Here is a 17,347-nt window from a genome sequence, read left to right as displayed (position 1 = left end):
GTCTCCTAAAGAGAAGGAAATTGACTATATAGCAAAGTAAGGAGCTCCCCCTAGTGGAAGTAACTCCATCAAAGCAATGGAATAGAAAATCATAGCCTGGTGCTTGAAATTACAAGGATCACTACGGACAAAGGAAGTGACTCCAGCATTTCACAGGAAAAATCCTCAGTGGAAACATTGGAGAACTAAAGATTAGATCTGAAGTATATGGGGGAACTTACCAATTTATTTTATTGTTGAACCTCTTTTGCATCTGATGATGGGGAAAAAATAATTTATTTAAAGTTGAACAAAAGGCCGGGCGCAGTGGCTCACACCTGTAATCCCAGCATCTTGGGAGGCCAAGGCGGGCAGATCACTTGAGGTCAGGAGTTTGAGACCAGCCTGGCCAACATGAAGAAACTGTTAAAAAAAAATTAGCCAGGCGTGGTGACATGCACCCATAATCCCAGCTACTCGGGGGGCTGAGGCACGAGAATTGTTTGAACCCGGGGAGTGGAGGTTGCAGTGAGCTGAGATCGTGCACTGCACTCCAGCCTGGGCAACAGAGCGAGAATCTGTCTCAAAAAAAAAAAAAAAAAGTTGAACAACATATGTACCTACCCTCAAGGAATTTAAAATCTGGTAGAGAATGTAACTCACAAATACAAATAAGCACAAAGCAATGAGTATGGATGTAAATCAGTGAACGTGAGCCTAACAAGAGAAATAAACTAAAAGATATAACTCACCCAGGAAAAAGAGGGATTACTTTAGGCTGAGGAAATCCAGGAAAACATCTTGGAGGGAGTGGTTCTTGAGTGGCACCTTGAAAGGCAAATAAAATTTAAATAAGCAAGTACTACATGTAAAGACCTAAATCTAGAGAAGGGCACATCATGTGAAATTCCAAGCAGACCAGCGGGGCTTTGTAAAGGTCACAATTTGGGTGATAACACAGAACCTGAAACCCTCCTTGAAAAGAGCAGAGAGGGATTCATGAGAGAAAGGTCCTTGGCAAAGGTGAACACAGGCAGGGACCAAAGAAAGTCCCTTTCTTCATTTTCCGTTGGATGAAAGGAACACTACTTAAATGTATAGGGAAAAAAAAGAAAATAATATAAGTGGTTATTCTCTCCCACAGGCATGCGTACTGAGGCAGTTTTCTGGTGAATCTAGAAGAAGGGTCCACAAACTTTTTATTTAAAGGGCCATATAGGCTGGGCATGGTGGCTCACACCTGTAATCCCAGCACTTTGGGAGGCTGAGGCGGGTGGATCGCTTGAGCCCAGGAGTTTGAGACCAGCCTGGGAAATACAGTAAGACCCCATCTCTACAAAATATTTTAAAATTAGCTGAGCATGGTGGGGCGCACCTGTAGTCCCAGCTACTTGGGAGGATGAGGTGGGTAGATTGCTTGAGCCCAGGAGTTCAAGGCTGCAGTGAGCCGTGATCACTCCACTGCACTCCAGCCTGGGTGACAGAGCGAGACCTTGTCTCATGAATGAATGAATGAATAAATAAATAAATAAATGGACAGATAGTAAATATTTGTGGCTTTGTAGGTCATATACAGTATCTGTTGCCAACTACTCAACTCTGCCATCACAGGGTAAAAGCAGTAATAGACAATACATAAACAAATAAACAATAAAACTTTATTTACAAAAATAGATGGCAGACCAGATTTGGTCCACATGCTGAAGTTTGCTGACTCCTGGCCTACAATAAGAGAAGCAGTTACACGATTCAAATGCTTAATCACATCGGGCTTTGGTAGCCTGATGCGTTCATGGATGCAACAGAGATACACCTACCTCCAGTATCAGATTGGGCAAGTTCTTGGGCTGAGTTCCTTCTTTTCCGACCAGCGCTTAGATGTATACTGCCGATATTTGCCTCTCTAGTACTTCTTTTTAATTGCTGGTAACCCTAAAAAAAAAAAATCTCATTTGAAAGCCTCCAATATCAGAAAGCTATTGGTAGGACTATTGATAGGGCTCACAAGGTAGTATTTATCTTGATACATTTTCTGCTTTTTCATGGTCTGGACTTCACCTTGGCTTTGCAAGATAAGAAATCCAATCTAGACCAGGTGCAGTGGCTCATGCCTGTAATCCCAACACTTTGGGAGGCCAAGGCGGGCAGATCACCTGAGGTCAGGAGTTCAAGACCAGCCTGGCCAACATGGTGAAACCTCATCTCTACTAAAAATACAAAAATTATCCAGGCACGATGGTGGGTGCCTATAATCCTAGCTACTCGGGAGGCTGAGGCAGGAGAATCGTTTGAACCTGGGAGGCAGAGGTTGTAGTGAGCCGAGATCGTGCCACTGCACTCCAGCCTGGGCGACAGAGCGAGACTCGGTCAAAAAAAAAAAAAGAAAGAGAGAGAGAGGAAGGAAGGAAGGAAGGAAGGAAGGAAGGAAGGAAGGAAGGAAGGAAGGAAGGAAAGAAAAAGAAATTCAATCTCGAGTCATCTGAAATTGGGAAGACTATGAAAGCTCTACTTATCAGTAAAAGTCCCAGAGGAATGCCAGTAGCATCAGTTTACATTCAGTAGCTATTTCACAGAGATCACCCCGATACTTTGTTACCTGCAAGGGAAGGGGGGAGCCTCCTTTCTTAGATGTTTTCCTGCCCTGAAAAAAAAAAAAGTGACAAATTGGCAATATGAATACTTACAAGAGGCATTAGCTATAAGCTTTGTGAAAAGAGAGATTATTTTTTAAATTAGAAACAATCTTTTATTTTTACAAAAGCAGTGTATATTCATTGTGAAAAATTTGAAAGCAAAAATAACTAAATAGAACATTGTGTTCCCATCACACAGAAATCACCATTAACAGCTTAGTATATATCTTTTCAGATATTTTTTCTAAGTATATGTAATACATATACGCATTTTCTTCCAAAAATGAAATACTGTACAAAATGTTTTACAACTGCCCTTTTCAGTTAATGACCTCCACCATTTCATCTTAAAAAGTTTTCACATCATCTAATAACCATCCATATACAAATTTCCCTAATTTTCCCAAAAATGTCCCATTAAGCAAGTTTGTTTAAATCATGATCCAATCTCAGACCACACACTGCATCTTAAGTCTCTTTTCATTGAGAACAGTGTCTTCTTTCAGGACAAAAATTTTGTTTCATGCTGTATTCCCAATGCATTTAACAGTTCTTGGTACATAACAGTAACTCAATAAATACTTGTATAATTAATTAATCAAAAACTGGGGGATTCATGGTAGAGTTTATCTCATCAACCCATTACCCTTTAGCTCCATTTTATAGATAATAAAAATAAAGACCAGAGACATAAAGTGACTTCCCAAGGTCACACAGCAAGTACATGTCAATTGCTTTCCATACCTTTTTTTTTTTTTTTTTTTTTTTGAGATGGAGTCTCGTTCTGTTGCCAGGCTGGGGTAGAGTGGTACAATCTCAGCTCACTGCGAGTGGTACAATCTCAGCTCACTGCAACCTCTGCCTCCCGGGTTCAAGCAATTCTCCTGCCTCAGTCTCCTAAGTAGCTGGGACTACAGGTGCACGCCACCATGCCCAGCTAATTTTTGTATTTTTAGCAGAGACGGGGTTTCACCATGTTGGCCAGGATGGTCTCGATCTTTTGATCACCATGTTGGCCAGGATGGTCTCAATCTCTTGACCTCGTGATCCGCCCACCTCAGCCTCCCAAAGTGCTAGGATTACAGGCGTGAGTCACCGCGCCCAGCCCTTTTTATTCTATTAAACCAGGAGTTAGCAAGCTTTTCTGTGAAGGTCAGAGAATTAATAATTTAGAATTTATGAACCAAGAAGCAAGATCGAGGATATTATATAAGTATTTACATAATGAGAGAAAACAAAATTGTACAAATTTTTAATTAATGAAATTTAAAAAGTAATAACAATTGACTATAAGGTTTTATAATACAGTTCTACTAATGAAAAGGTTAGAATAGAAAAATAATATTTTGCTTCATTAGGGTTGAAAATTAGTGTTCCCTATCATCAAATTTGTTGTCACTATTCATCTGAAAACACATTCTTAGCTCACAGGTCATAGATTGCTAATTCCTATACTACATCATGCAGCTTGTTTGTGGTTTGCTTTTCTTTTAAAGTTTAAGTGAAAATAACATTCCTCATAATTGACAGTTACATTTGGGTGCTGGCTTATTGGAGCTATATGATAGTAAAGCACCAATGAGAAAAACAATTCCTCAGCCACTTTTTTTTTTTTTTTTTTGTCGCCCAGGCTGGAGTGCAGTGGTGTGATCTCAGCTCACTGCAACCTCCACCTCCCAGGTTCAAGCGATTCTCCTGCCTCAGCCTCCCAAGTAGCTGGGACTACAGGCACACGCCTGGCTACTTTTTGTATTTTTAGTAGAGATGGTGTTTCGCCTATGTTGGCCAGGCTGGTCTCCAACTCCTGACCTCAGGTGATCCACACACCTCGGCCTCCCAAAGTGCTGGGATTACAGGCGTGAACCACCGCGCCCAGCCCACATTTTTTAAAAGTATGTATTGTGTTACTTCAGTTATTCTAGTAGCTAACTGTTGAGCATGCCTGTCTTCTTTCATTTAGATGGACAGAAGGTAGGCTGCATTGTGACCGTCACTTTCATAACTAACTATGTGTTAATATTTAATAGGGCTGACCAATTTAAAAATCAGTGCAAGTGAGGATATTAATTGGCCTATGTTGGGGCTTCTTTTTCTCAAATATAAATATGCTCTTTAAAGATATACAGGTAAATATTCAAAGACTTAAAAGAATAGAAAGTGGTTGCTTTTGGGGGCAACATGGAATGGGAAGGAAAGCAAATGATTCATTTTTTAAAAAAAGCAAATCTTGTAGAACTATTTGATTTTTAAAAACTACAGTATGATACCTGTAATCCTAGCACTTTGGGAGGCTGAGATGGGAGGATCGCTTGAGCCTAGGAGTTCAAGATCAGCCTGGGCAACATGGCAAAACCCTGTCTTTTTTTTGTCTTTTTCTTTTTTTTTTTTTTTTTTTGAGATGGAGTCTTGCTCTGTCACCCAGGCTGGAATGCAGTGATGCGATCTCAGCTCATTGCAACCTCCACCTCCTGGGTTCAAACGATTCTCCTGCCTCAGCCTCCTGAGTAGCTGGGATTACAGGTGCATGCCACCACGCCCAGCTAATTTTTGTATTTTTAGTAGAGATGAGGTTTCGCCATGTTTGCCAGGCTGGTCTCTAGCTCCTGACCTCAGGTGATCTGTCCACCTCAGCCTCCCAAAGTGCTGGGATTACAGGCGTGAGCCACTGCGCCTGGCTGTGAAACCCTGTCTCTACACAACATTTAAAAATTAGCCAGCCATGGTGGTGTGCACCTGTAGTCCCAGGTATTTGGGAGGCTGAGGTGAGAAGATTGCTTGAAGGTTGAGGCTGCAGTGAGCTGTGATTGCACGCGCCACTGTACTCCAACCTGGGTGACAGAGCGAGATGCTGTTTCAAAACAAATAAAAAACCTACAGTATGTACTTGTATAATTTTGATTAAAATAAACAAAAGAAAACGAGAGGCACATTAAGTCCTCTTCTGGAAAAGGTTTCCTTAATACTTTCCTCCACCCGCCTTCAAGCAGGGTTAAGTGTTCCTCTTCTGTAAAAGGTTTCCTTAATACTTTCCTCCACCCGCCTTCAAGCAGGGTTAAGTGTTCCTCTTCTCTGCTCCCCAGAGCATCTTGTCCTCAACTCCCTTCAGAGCACTTAACAAGCTATACTGTCATTGTTTTGTTGTCTGTCTTCCTGAAGGAACTATGAGCTCCTTGCAAGGAAGGACTATGTATTATTCATTTCAGCTCCTAATTTTTATAACACTAAAAAAGGCATTCATTAAATGAAGTGAAACTAGCTAAACCAAATACAACCAAAAGTCACTCAATCTAGGCAAATTAACATCACAATGAGACACTAATCAAAAAGACAGACAAGAAAGTATTGGTAAGGATGTGGAGAAATAGAAATCCTCATACATTTACCAGTGGGGATAGAAAACAGTGCAGCCACTTTGGAAAGCAATCCAGAAGTTCCTAAAAAGTTAAACATACAGTTACTTTATAAAACCCAGCAATTCCACTCCTAGGTATATACCCAAGAGAACCCAAAACATGTCCACACAAAAACTTGTATACGAATATTCACAGAATTATTCATAACAACCAAAAAGTGGAAACAACTCAAATGTTTATCAACTGATGAGTGGAAAAACAAAATATGGTATATCCATCAATGTAATATTATTTAGCCAGAAAAAGGAAGGGAGTATTGATAATGTTACAAAATGGATGAACCTTGAAAACATCATGTTAAGTGAAAGAACCCAGACACAAAAGGCCACATATTGTATGAGTCCATTCATGTGAAATGTCCAGAAAAAGCAACTATATACAGACAGAAAGCAGACAAATGGTTGCCTAGGGCTAAACATGAGAGAGGAGATTAACTGCAAACTGCTTCTGGGAATTCGTGGGGGATAGGGAAAATGTCCTAAAACTGTATTGTGGTGATGGTTGCACAACTCCATAAATTTATTTTTATTTATTTGTTTAGTTTTGAGACAGGGTCTTGCTCTGTCACCCAGACTGGAGTGCAGTGGCACAATCACAGCTCACTGCAGCCTCAACCTCCCTGGCTCAAGTGATCCTCCCACCTCAGCCCCCAAGTAGCTGGGACTACAGGTGTGCACTACCGCTCCTGGCTAAATTTATTTTTTAAACTGTACACTTAAAGTCAGTGGATTTGATGGTATAAAAAGTACAAGGCTGGGAAAAAATTCCTCAATTTATTACATTATTCAGTTTCTTTATAAATTAACTGTTTTTCCTCAAATAGACTACTTCTATTAAGAACTGTGGTGAGGCTGCTGGTAGTGGTTCACGCCTGTAATCCCAGCACTTTGGGAGGCCAAGGCGGGTAGATCACCTGTGGTCAGGAGTTCGAGACCAGCCTAGCCAACATGGTGAAACCCCGTCTCTACTAAAAATACAAAAATTAGCTGGGCATGGTGGTGGCATGCCTGTAATTCCAGCTACTCGGGAGTTGGAGACAGGAGAACTGATTGAACCCAGGAGGCAGAGGTTGCAGTGAGCCGAGATCGTGCCACTGCACTCCAGCCTGGGCGACAGAGTGAGACCGTCTCAAGAAAAAACAAAAACAAAAACAAAAAAAAACAAAAACAAAAATAAAACCGTGGTGAGGCCAGGCATGTGGCTCACGCCTGTAATCCCAGCACTTTGAGAGGCCAAGATGGGCGGATTACTTGAGGTCAGGAGTTCAAGACTAGCCTGGCGAACATGGTGAAACCCCATATCTACTAAAAAATACAAAAACTAGCCGGGTGTCGTGGCGGGCGCCTGTAATCCCAGCTACTCAGGAGGCTGAGGCGGGAGAATTGCTTGAACCCAGGAGACAGAGGTTGCAGTGAGCCGAGATCGCGCCATTGCACTCCAGCCTGGGCGACAGAGCAAGACTCTGTCTCAAAAAAAAAAAAAAAAAGACCGTGGTGAATTAAGTTTCTGAGACATTTCTGTCAGTTGGGACTTGGGGCTGTGCTGCATAGACATCACAGCCAGCATCTCAGTCTGAGAAATTGTACGATGTCTTGAGGTGTACAACGTGTTTCCAGTTGAGTGACCCCAGTGTGTAGTCTAGATACTCCCTGGCCTTTCTGCTGGTTTAAGTGTGAGAGTGCCTAAGGCCTCTACACCAAGCAAGAAACTAGTCAGTTAACAAACTCACGTCTTGAAACTCCCCAGCCCAGTTCACAACCAGGTGAATTGTTCTATTACAGCATATCTATGAAAATGATCGATCAAATTACTGATTTGATTTTCTCCTTTTTTTGGAGGGTGGGCAACTGGGTAAGTGCTTATTGGGCAAGGATGTCCGGCCAGATCAGCCAAAAGATACAAAGTCCATCCCGTCGGCCCGTCCCCTGGGGTACTACAGGGGAAATCTCATCTCTCCAAGGCCGGTGGGGAGGCACAAAGGGATTTAACAGCACCTCTCCTGGCTAGGGGAAAGGCTGGGACAAAGTCCCTCCTTTGTTGCATTGCGGGAAGGGCCAAACCTGCCACAATGTCAGGGTGAGGTGTCTGTTCCCGGGGCCTCCTGGTGACCGGGAAGCTCATGCGACTGCTCCCGGACTTCAGTCGCTTTCGCCGCTGCAGCCCCACCGTCCGGCCCGGGCATGGCGAAACAAGCAGGCGGTGGAGGGAGGAAACCAGCCCGAGCCAACCGCTCATTCCTCGCAGCCGTCCGGGGATCCCCAGGCGGTCCCCTACGACCCTGCGCGTGACCCCCCTGTCACGTGGCCGCCGTCCCTTTCGGGATGCACCATTGCTTCTGGCGCCCCCTGGTGACCAGAAGAGAGCAGAGCTGGCACCGCGAGGGCGAGCCTGCCGGTCCGCTGGACCCTACGCGAGCCGGCGGCGCTGTCTGGGCCCCCGCGGCGGAAATGGCCCCGCCGGTGGCACCAGGGCGTGCTCCGCGAAGCCCAGGGAGCTGACCCAAGCCCGAACTGGAGTGGGTGGAAGCCGCTTCCACCCTTTCCTCCCTTCCCCCGAAAGGGAAAAGGACCTCTAAGAAGACAGAATGGCCAGATAATTATCTTGAACCTGGATTCCAGCTCCTTGTGCAAAAACAGAAGAATAAGGCAGGGTTTTGGAGTTTATGTTTGTTTGTTTGATTAAGAGGGTTTTGCTGATGCTCCTGAAAACATGTATTTGTAGCCCCGAGATTGTGAGCTAATTATTACTTCTGAGTCTCATTCTCCTCTTCTATAAAATAGGGACAATAATGGTGAAGTGTTTGTGAGGATTCACAGGTGTTTGTGAGGAGCAAATGAAATAATCCACCTGAAGGTTTTAGCAGACAGGTTTAAGCTACTTGTTTAGCTTTAAACCAGCTAGTTTAGCAACTAACTCAGGTCTCAGTAAACACCTTCGAGAAATGAAAGGATTTTGACACCATAAAATAAACACGTGCCTAAGGTGAATTGTCCATTAAAAATGTATGTATATGGGAATTAAAACCATCTATCCCCAAACTCGGCCTGGACACTGAGAATCAAAAACCCCACTGTAGCATCTACATAAAAAGGACTTTGCTAATCCACTGTCTTCATTCGCATTACTTTTCCAGGACGTTCTCTGCAGGCGAATAGTTTCTGCATTACAGGATCTTCTGCAAAGGCCCATCAACTCGTCAATGGACAGCACCAACAGTTTGCACTCTAAAATTTTTTGAATGCCTCTCATTAAAATCCTCCTCTTGCTGCTTACACCAATCCTAGAATGTTGGTATCTCGTGGTTCTTACCCAATCCCAATCAAATCCCAGCATTGAAAGACTCACCGCCTTAAGCCCATTTTTCATTTCTCAATAAATTCTGATCTTTCTTTTCCTGTCTGAAGCACCGCTAAAGCTTCACGAAGTGGTGTTCTCCCGTAGTGAGGGAAGCAATAAATGCACTTCGTCATATCATCAGGTGCATTGGTGATATATGGGGAGCGAGCATTTGATTTTTTATTGTTTTAAAGATGGGGTCTTGCTATGTTGCCCAGGTTGCTCTCCAACTACTGGCCTCAAGTGATCCTCCCACTTATTCAATTAATGGTGTTGGAATAATTAGCCAAGCATTTGCACGATTTTTCTTTTTTTTGAAATGGAGTCTCGCTGTCACCCAGGCTGGAGTGCAGCGGCATGATCTTGGCTAACTGCAACCTCCGCCTCCCATGTTCAAGTGATTCTCCTGCCTCAGCCTCCTGAGTACCTGGGATTACAGACACGTGCCACACCCGGCTACTTTTTGTATTTTTTAGTAGAGACGAGGTCTCACCATGTTGTCCAGGCTGGTCTTGAACTCGTGACCTCAAGTGATCCACCCGCCTCGGCCTCCCAAAGTGCTGGGATTACAGGCTTGAGCCACCAAGCCGGGCCTCACACTTGTTTCATTCCCAGTGAACTACTTCACATACTGGCAAGCCTATTGGAGCAGGGGGTCCCTGCATTGTAATGGTGAGGTTGGCCTATGATGTGGCTGGGGCCTGGATGATTTTATGGTGATATCTTCCTCTTTACCCCAGCCACCAGGCCTACCACCCTCCAGCTAAGCTTGAGTTTTCTCCATTCATTCAAATCTTCTAACAGGTGCACTCAAAAGAGTAGTATCATTTTCTTCTCCTAAGTCATTCAGTTTTATGTTATTGTCCCTCATTGTTTTATTTTCAGCTGTGTTTCCATCAATTCTCTTGCTTTTTCTAGGAAAAGAGTCATATTTATTACAATTTATGATGGATATTTGTCAGCCAGTAACAACACAGTGTTTATTATAGTTTTTTTATTAGTATGTTTTTATATTTGCTCAGGCTTTACCCCTTTACTCCTCTTTTTTGACAAATAATCTTTAATTTTGCTCTCAAAATTATCACATTTGTCATTAGAAAAAGAACAAAAACAATTTTATAAATACTTCATATGTAAAACTCCCTTTTTAGAGAGTACAATCCCAATAAAGTAAATTATACATGTATCTACATTCACAGGGTTAGAAAAAAGATTTAAAAGAAATATGCCAGGTTGGGCATGGTGGCTCACACCTCTAATCTCAGCACCTTGGGAGGCCAAGGTGGGAGGATCTCTTGAGTCCAGGAGTTTAAGATCAGCCTGGGCAACATGGTAAGACCCCATCTCTACTAAAAATGCAAAAATTAACCAGGTGTGGTGGCACACGCCTAAAGTCCCAGCTACTTGGGAGGCTGAGTTGTGAGGATGGCTTGAGCTCAGGAGGCAGAGGTTGCAGTGAGCTGAGACGGTGCCACTACACTCCAGCCTGGGTGACAGAGCCAGACCCTGTCTTCAAAAAATAAAAAAGAAATAAAAGAAATATCCCAAAATATTCAGTGTTTACCTATGATTTATTTTTTCTTTTACTGTATACTTTTATGATTATTTAAGTATTAACTGTATTTTACATAATTTTGTGACACTCTAAATATTCAACTTTTGTAACAAACCTAAAATAATTTAATAAATGAAATAGTTTTACAAACATTCTGGCACACAGAGAAGGAAAAAATTTACATTTCTTTTCTGTTTTTTGTTTTTTTGTTTTGTTTTGTTTTGTTTTTAGAGACAGTCTCATTGCCCAGGCTCAGACACCATCACAATTCACTGCAACCTCGAACTCCTGGCCTCATGTAATTCTCCTGCCTGGACCTCCCAAAGTGTTGAGATTACAATCATAAGCCACTGCACTTGGCCAAGAATCTTTTTTTTTTTTTTTGAGACAGGGTCCCACTCTGTTGCCCAAACCAAAGTGCAGTGGCATGATCACGGCTCACTGTAGCCTTGACCTCCTGGGCTCAAGCTATTCTCCCGCTTCAGCCCTTACAAGTAGCTGAGATCACAGGCATACATCGCCATGCCGGGCTAATTTTTAAGTTTTTTGTAGAGATGTGTCTCACTATATTTCACAGGCTGGCCTTGAACTCCTGGGCTCAAGCAATCCTTCTGCCTCAGCCTCCCAAAGTGCTGGGATTATAGGCATGAACCACCATAACCAGCCCCAAGATTCTACCTTAAATTATATTTTCCTGAGCCAAAATTAGATCTTGGTCCATCCAGGATATTTAAAACCAACCTCTGGTCAGACGCGGTGGCTCACGCCTGTAATCCCAGCACTTCGGGAGGCCAAGGAGGGCGGATCACAAGGTCAGGAGATCGAGACCATCCCGGCTAACACGGTGAAACCCCGTCCCTACTAAAGATACAAAAAATTAGCCAGGCGTCGTGGTAGGTGCCTGTAGTCCCAGCTACTCTGGAGGCTAAGGCAGGAGAATGGCGTGAACCCGGAAGGCAGAGCTTGCAGTGAGCCCAGATCGCTCCACTGCACTCCAGCCTGGGTGACAGAGCAAGACTCCATCTCAAAAAAAAAGAAAAAAAAAAAAAACCTCTATCATGTTCCAACTAGTAAAATTTAAGTTCCTTTACTTATAGTTTTTCAAACAGCTTTGTCTTGATGAATAGGAAATTGGTCAAATATTCATATCTGCTTATTTCTCCTGCCCCAAGAACTAATCTTCCATTATGATACAGTTTTTCTAAGCAATGTCAATATTTTTACTTAAAATATGTGATGGAAAGTTCACAGGCTTTGGAGCCGCCCAACTTACCATTCACTTACTGACTGTATGACCTTAGTCCTGTTACTATCTTTTGCTGAGACTCATTGATATTCTCTTAAATGGGATTAAGAATTCTTACTATATTATTGACATGTTCAATACATAGTGATTGAAAATCATTTATTATTATCTTTTTTTTATTGAGACGGGGTCTTAGGCTGTCACTCAGGCTGGAGTGCAGTGGCACGATCTCAGCTCACTGCAACCTCTGCCTCCCAGGTTCAAATGATTCTCCTGCCTCAGCCTCCCAAGTAGCTAGGATTACAGTCGTACTAATTTTTTTTTTTTTTTTTTTTTTTTTTTAGTAGAGACAGGGTTTCACCATGTTGGCCAGACTGGTCTCAAACTCCTGACCTCAAGTGATCTGTGTGCCTTGGCCTCCCAAACTGCTGGGATTACAGGCCTGAGCAAGCATGCCCGGTCCTATTATCACTCTTGTTTGTTCCTTAATAGAAGGAAAATAGCAAAGAGTACCCAATATACCCATATTTTTCAAGACAGTTATTTTCTTTTTTAAATTTTTCATTTAATTTTTACAACACTATGTGATCGAGACTATTATTTCCATTTGACCAATGTTCGATTGAAGAAGGTGGTAGTCCCACTATATGGATCTGATGACATCTGGAATACTCTGTATAGTACTGCTTTTTGAAAGAGAATAGTAAACTGCAGGGAAATTGCAACAGATGGTGAAAATGTTCATGAAAAGGAATTGAAGTTAGGCACATGCAAGGAGACTTCAACAAATTCTACTCCCCCAATTAAGCATAGTCTCTCGGAGATGTCTTGTGTTAAAATTTATAGAGGAAGTTGGGACTACTAGCTATGGTTTTCCTTAACTTCCCTTCTTAACCTCTTCATACTTTCCCAAAGCCCCAGTCAAATGATAAAATGGGCCGGGTGCAGTGGCTCACACTTTTAATCCCAGCACTTTGGGAGGCCGAGGTGGACAGGTCGCTTGAGTCCAGGAGTTTGAGACCAGCCAGGGCAACATGGTAAAACCCTGTCTCTACCCCAAAAATACAAAGATTAGTTGGGTGTGGTGGCACATGCCCGTGGTCCCAGCTACTCAGGAGGCAAAGGTGGGAGAATCACCTGAGCCTGGGAAGTCGAGGCTGCAGTGAGCCATGATTGCGTGCCACTGCACTCCATCCTGGGCTCCAGAGCGAGACACTGTCTCAAAAAAAAAAAAAAGCCCTCCTGGTCAGTTACTATCCCCAAACCTGGGTAGTTTCATATTTTTAAGGAATTTAGCCAATTCCTTGTCTTTCTCTCTTTAGTGGTTTTCCTTACTCTAAGCATGTGAACATATTCTAAAAATAAAGCACTAACAAAGAAATCCTTTTATAAAGACAAATAAGACACAGCCCCAGCACTCAAAGAGCCTGGATTCTAGGATAGAGAAAAGACATGTAAAACACGAATGTTGTGGATATTAAACACATGAGTAAATAACAAAACAAACATGTTTGTGACAGGTTTTTGTTTTTTGTTTTTTTTTTTTTTGAGACGGAGTTTCGCTCTTGTTGCCCAGGCTGAAGCTCAATGGCACGATCTCAGCTCACTGCAACCTCCACCTCCTGGGTTCAAGCAATTCTCCTGCCTCAGCCTCCCAAGTAGCTGGAGTTACAGGCACCCACCACCACGCCCAGCTAATTTTTTGTATTTTTAGTAGAGACAGGTTTCACCATGTTGGCCAGGCTGGTCTTGAAGTCCTGACCTCAGGTGATCCACCCACCTCAGCCTCCCAAAGTGCTGGGATTACAGGCGTGAGCCACTGCACCCGGCCTTTGTGACAGTTTTATATGTATTATGGTAAAAGTCTACATAGGAGCAGAAAAGGAAGGACTGGGCAACTTTCCAGGAAATGGGGGTTGATAAAGGAAGTGTAATGCTTGAATTGACCCCGCGGTTCTCTTTAGCTATATTAACCTGTCTCTGATCTCCCCATATTTCATGAGTTGGGTAAAGAAAAATATAAATTTAATGTCTCCACTTCCCTCTTTTTCATTCCTCAAACTCGTGCCTATAGGCATTCATATTTGTTAAATACTAATGGCTTATGATAGTTAACATTTATAGAGCTCTTGCCTGTTTCCAGACATTGTAATATGTGTTTCACATATAGTAACTTGCTTATTTCTTACAACTACTCTCTAAGATAGGTACTGTTATTGTCCCCATTTTAGAGAGAGGCAACTGAAGCACAGAGAGGGTAAATACCTTGACTGGGATCACAACTAGTAAATGCTGAGACTGGGCTTCAGATCTGGGCAGTTTAGCTTCAGGACCTATGAGTTATTATCAGGCTTATATCCCCTATGACTAGCACAATGTTGTTGGGGCATCTTGCAAATGCCCATGGGATTACAAAACAAATGCACTTGGGATGATTAGGGATTTGAAACTCTTTTTTTTTTTTTTTTTTTTTTTTTTTAATGAGACGGAGTCTCACTCTGTCGCCCAGGCTGGAGTACAGTGGCGCAATTTCGTCTCACTGCAAGCTCTGCCTCCCAGGTTCATGCCATTCTCCTGCCTTGGCCTCCTGCGTAGCTAGGACTACAGTTGCCCGCCACCATGCCTGGCTGATTTTTTGTATTTTTAGTGGAGACGGGGTTTCACTGTGTTAGCCAGGATGGTCTCGATCTCCTGACCTCGTGATCCACCTGCCTGGGCCTCCCAAAGTGCTGGGATTACAGGCGTGAACCACCATGCCCGGCCTGGGGATTTGAAACTCTTAAACCCAAAGTTTGATAATGTGACATAGATGAAGCTACAAAGAAACCCATTTCCCACTTTCTGCCATGCTAGGAGTGAATGGTCCATCTAATAAGTGATACCCTGGGGAAGTGAAAACCAAGCAATGGATATAGAATGTCTTCCAGGTTTGTGATTTCATCGGCTAGGTGGGTGGTGGCTCAGCAATGTGCACTATTCTCTCATTGACTGTCTCCTTTCTGGCAGCACTTGTTCCAGGTAGGAGGCAGTAACAAAAGCTGGCATTCACTGAGGGCCTACTGTGTGCCAGGCACTTTGTTCATTCCAGCCACAAATATTTACTGAGAATGAGCTCTGTTCCAGGGAGTGTTCCAGGAGCTGGTGATGCTGCAGTTAACTAGAATGCCTGCTGTCGTTGAGTCTGGTGGGGAGAGACATCAATGTACAATATAACTCAGTAAATTATGTAGTATACTAGAAGAAAGGCATGTGATGGAAAAATAGAGCAGGCAAGAGAGAATCGGAGTGCTGATGATCAGATGTGCTGTTTTAAATGGGATGTTCAGGGTCAGCTTCAATGAGAAGATGGCATTTGAGCAAATACAGGAACATGGGGAATGATTAAGGCACAGGGCTATTTGGAGGAACAATGAGAACAACCAGTGCAAACTGGTGAGGTGGGAACGTGCCTGAAGTCTGTGTCAAGATGCCCCAACAACATTGTACTAGGCTTGGGAGGATAAAAGCCTAGTGGGGAAGACAGCTAGTTATACAAGCAATTACAACACAATGATAAATGCTACCTAAGATTCGGGGAATGAGCTTTAGCAGGGTCAGGGCAAGCTGGCCCGAGGGAGTGCCAGATGAGAGGATACTTGAAGTTTGACAAGGGTTTTGCCAGGTGAAAAGAGTTCCAGACTGATGGAGCAGCACACTGGGGGTCAGAGAGAACACAGATGGCCTGGGGTTTTAAGCCCGTTTTTAGAGCGGCCACATTTAATTTTTCCAATTAGACTCAATGATCTGAAGGCACACCGAGAGCTTGAAATGCAGAGCGTTGTCTTGCAAGTATGAAGCCTAATTTATTCACCCAAGTTTTACTTATGGTCTTTTAACTTGTTTCCAGTTTTCCACTATTACACAAAATAAACTAGGGTAAACATCTTTGTTCATAAAAATTTTTTACACTTGTCCAGCTATGTTCTCAGCATCAATTTCAGCAGCTGTTGGATCCAGGGATTTTTATATTTCAACCTTTGATGCATTTCCTGGTCAGCCTTCCAGCAAGAATGCCTCAATCCTCAGTCCTACCAGCAGTGTGGGAGAGAGACTGCTTGTCCACATCCTCATCAACAGTTTGTTATTTTTAGTATCTTATCCCAGAAATTGTATATAAAAATAAATATGAAGAGAAGATAGTTACAGGCTCTAAGAAGGAGCTTTCCTAAACTGATCTTTTTTTTTCCGTCTTGTTTAATAAAAGAAATGAGACCAAGGCTATGTTACTGTGCAGGCTTTTGGTCGTGAGTATGGCAATTAGAAATTGGTTCCCAGGATGCAACCGATAGAATGATCAGATATATTGTACCCATTAGGAAGGACTTTATAGTATAACTGTAAAGACTTCTGGCTCTGGGGAGAGGCAGATCTGAAGTTCAATTCCAGCCCCAACCCTTACTATCTGTGTAATCTTAGGCAAGTGACAATAACTATGTGTGCCTCAATGTCCTAGTCTGTAAAATGGAGATGATGAACATGTTACATATCTGGAAGAAGAATGTGTGTGAGGCCAACCTAAGTTGTCAGCTCTGGTCTGCAATGAGCTGCTGCAGCTAAGGATCCATACATATTTCCTGCCAGGATGATAACTCAAGACCCAGAGCTAGTCTCGCTGCCTCCTTTTATCCTGCCCCTGAGAACTCTGGCAGTGGCAGGATTTCAGGGTCACCTGAATTGTAAAGGACTCCTGTCAGGGGCCAAGCTCAGTGTAGCTCCTGAAACCAGACTGTCATATCATCAGATTAACACTGAATAAGCACTGTATGCATGGCATGGACAGCATTTAACTTTTCCTGCCCTTCCTTCAGTAGCAGAGTAATGCATTTCAGCAGATGTCCAGTAGCTGCCATTTCTTGAGAGTCTGTGGGAGTCTACAATGGACCAACCCTATGTTAATCACTCATATAAAGGGCACACCTGGAAAGGCAGGCCTTATTATCCTGAATTTTTACAAACCTCAATTTTGTTTCGTGTCACATGCAGATAATAACACCTACATGATAGGGTGCTGTGAACATGGGAGACATGTAAGAAGCATAGGCTTTGGGCCAGGTGCGGTGGCTCACGCCTGTAATCCCAGCACTTTGGGAGGCTGAGGCGAACGGATCACGAGGTCAGGAGATCGAGACCATCCTGGCTAACATGG

The 17,347-nt window shown here is 43.1% G+C and overlaps 1 long non-coding RNA gene across 1 annotated transcript in view, besides 1 other annotated feature; it reads right to left on the bottom strand.

The window, feature by feature from the left end:
* LINC01285 (long intergenic non-protein coding RNA 1285) overlaps window positions 1-8,305 on the bottom strand; it is a 42,460-nt gene extending 34,155 nt beyond the window's left edge. The window contains exons 1-5 of the long non-coding RNA NR_110393.1: window positions 8,086-8,305; window positions 5,996-6,046; window positions 2,576-2,620; window positions 1,797-1,911; window positions 732-807 (exon numbers count right to left, since the gene is read on the bottom strand). This is a non-coding gene — a long non-coding RNA (long intergenic non-protein coding RNA 1285). The remainder of the gene's footprint in view (window positions 1-731; window positions 808-1,796; window positions 1,912-2,575; window positions 2,621-5,995; window positions 6,047-8,085) is intronic.
* Window positions 8,438-8,507: a silencer, noted in NCBI's record as "silent region_20951". NCBI's record gives its function as "represses an Ori minimal core promoter by ATAC-STARR-seq in GM12878 lymphoblastoid cells {active_cell/tissue: GM12878}" and the evidence as "EXISTENCE:reporter gene assay evidence [ECO:0000049][PMID:35858748]".

Source organism: Homo sapiens, chromosome X (assembly GCF_000001405.40).
Source record: "Homo sapiens chromosome X, GRCh38.p14 Primary Assembly".
NCBI lineage: Eukaryota > Metazoa > Chordata > Mammalia > Primates > Hominidae > Homo > Homo sapiens.
The sequence above is the reverse complement of the archived record's forward strand: the minus strand, read 5'-3'. Positions and strand labels throughout refer to the sequence as shown.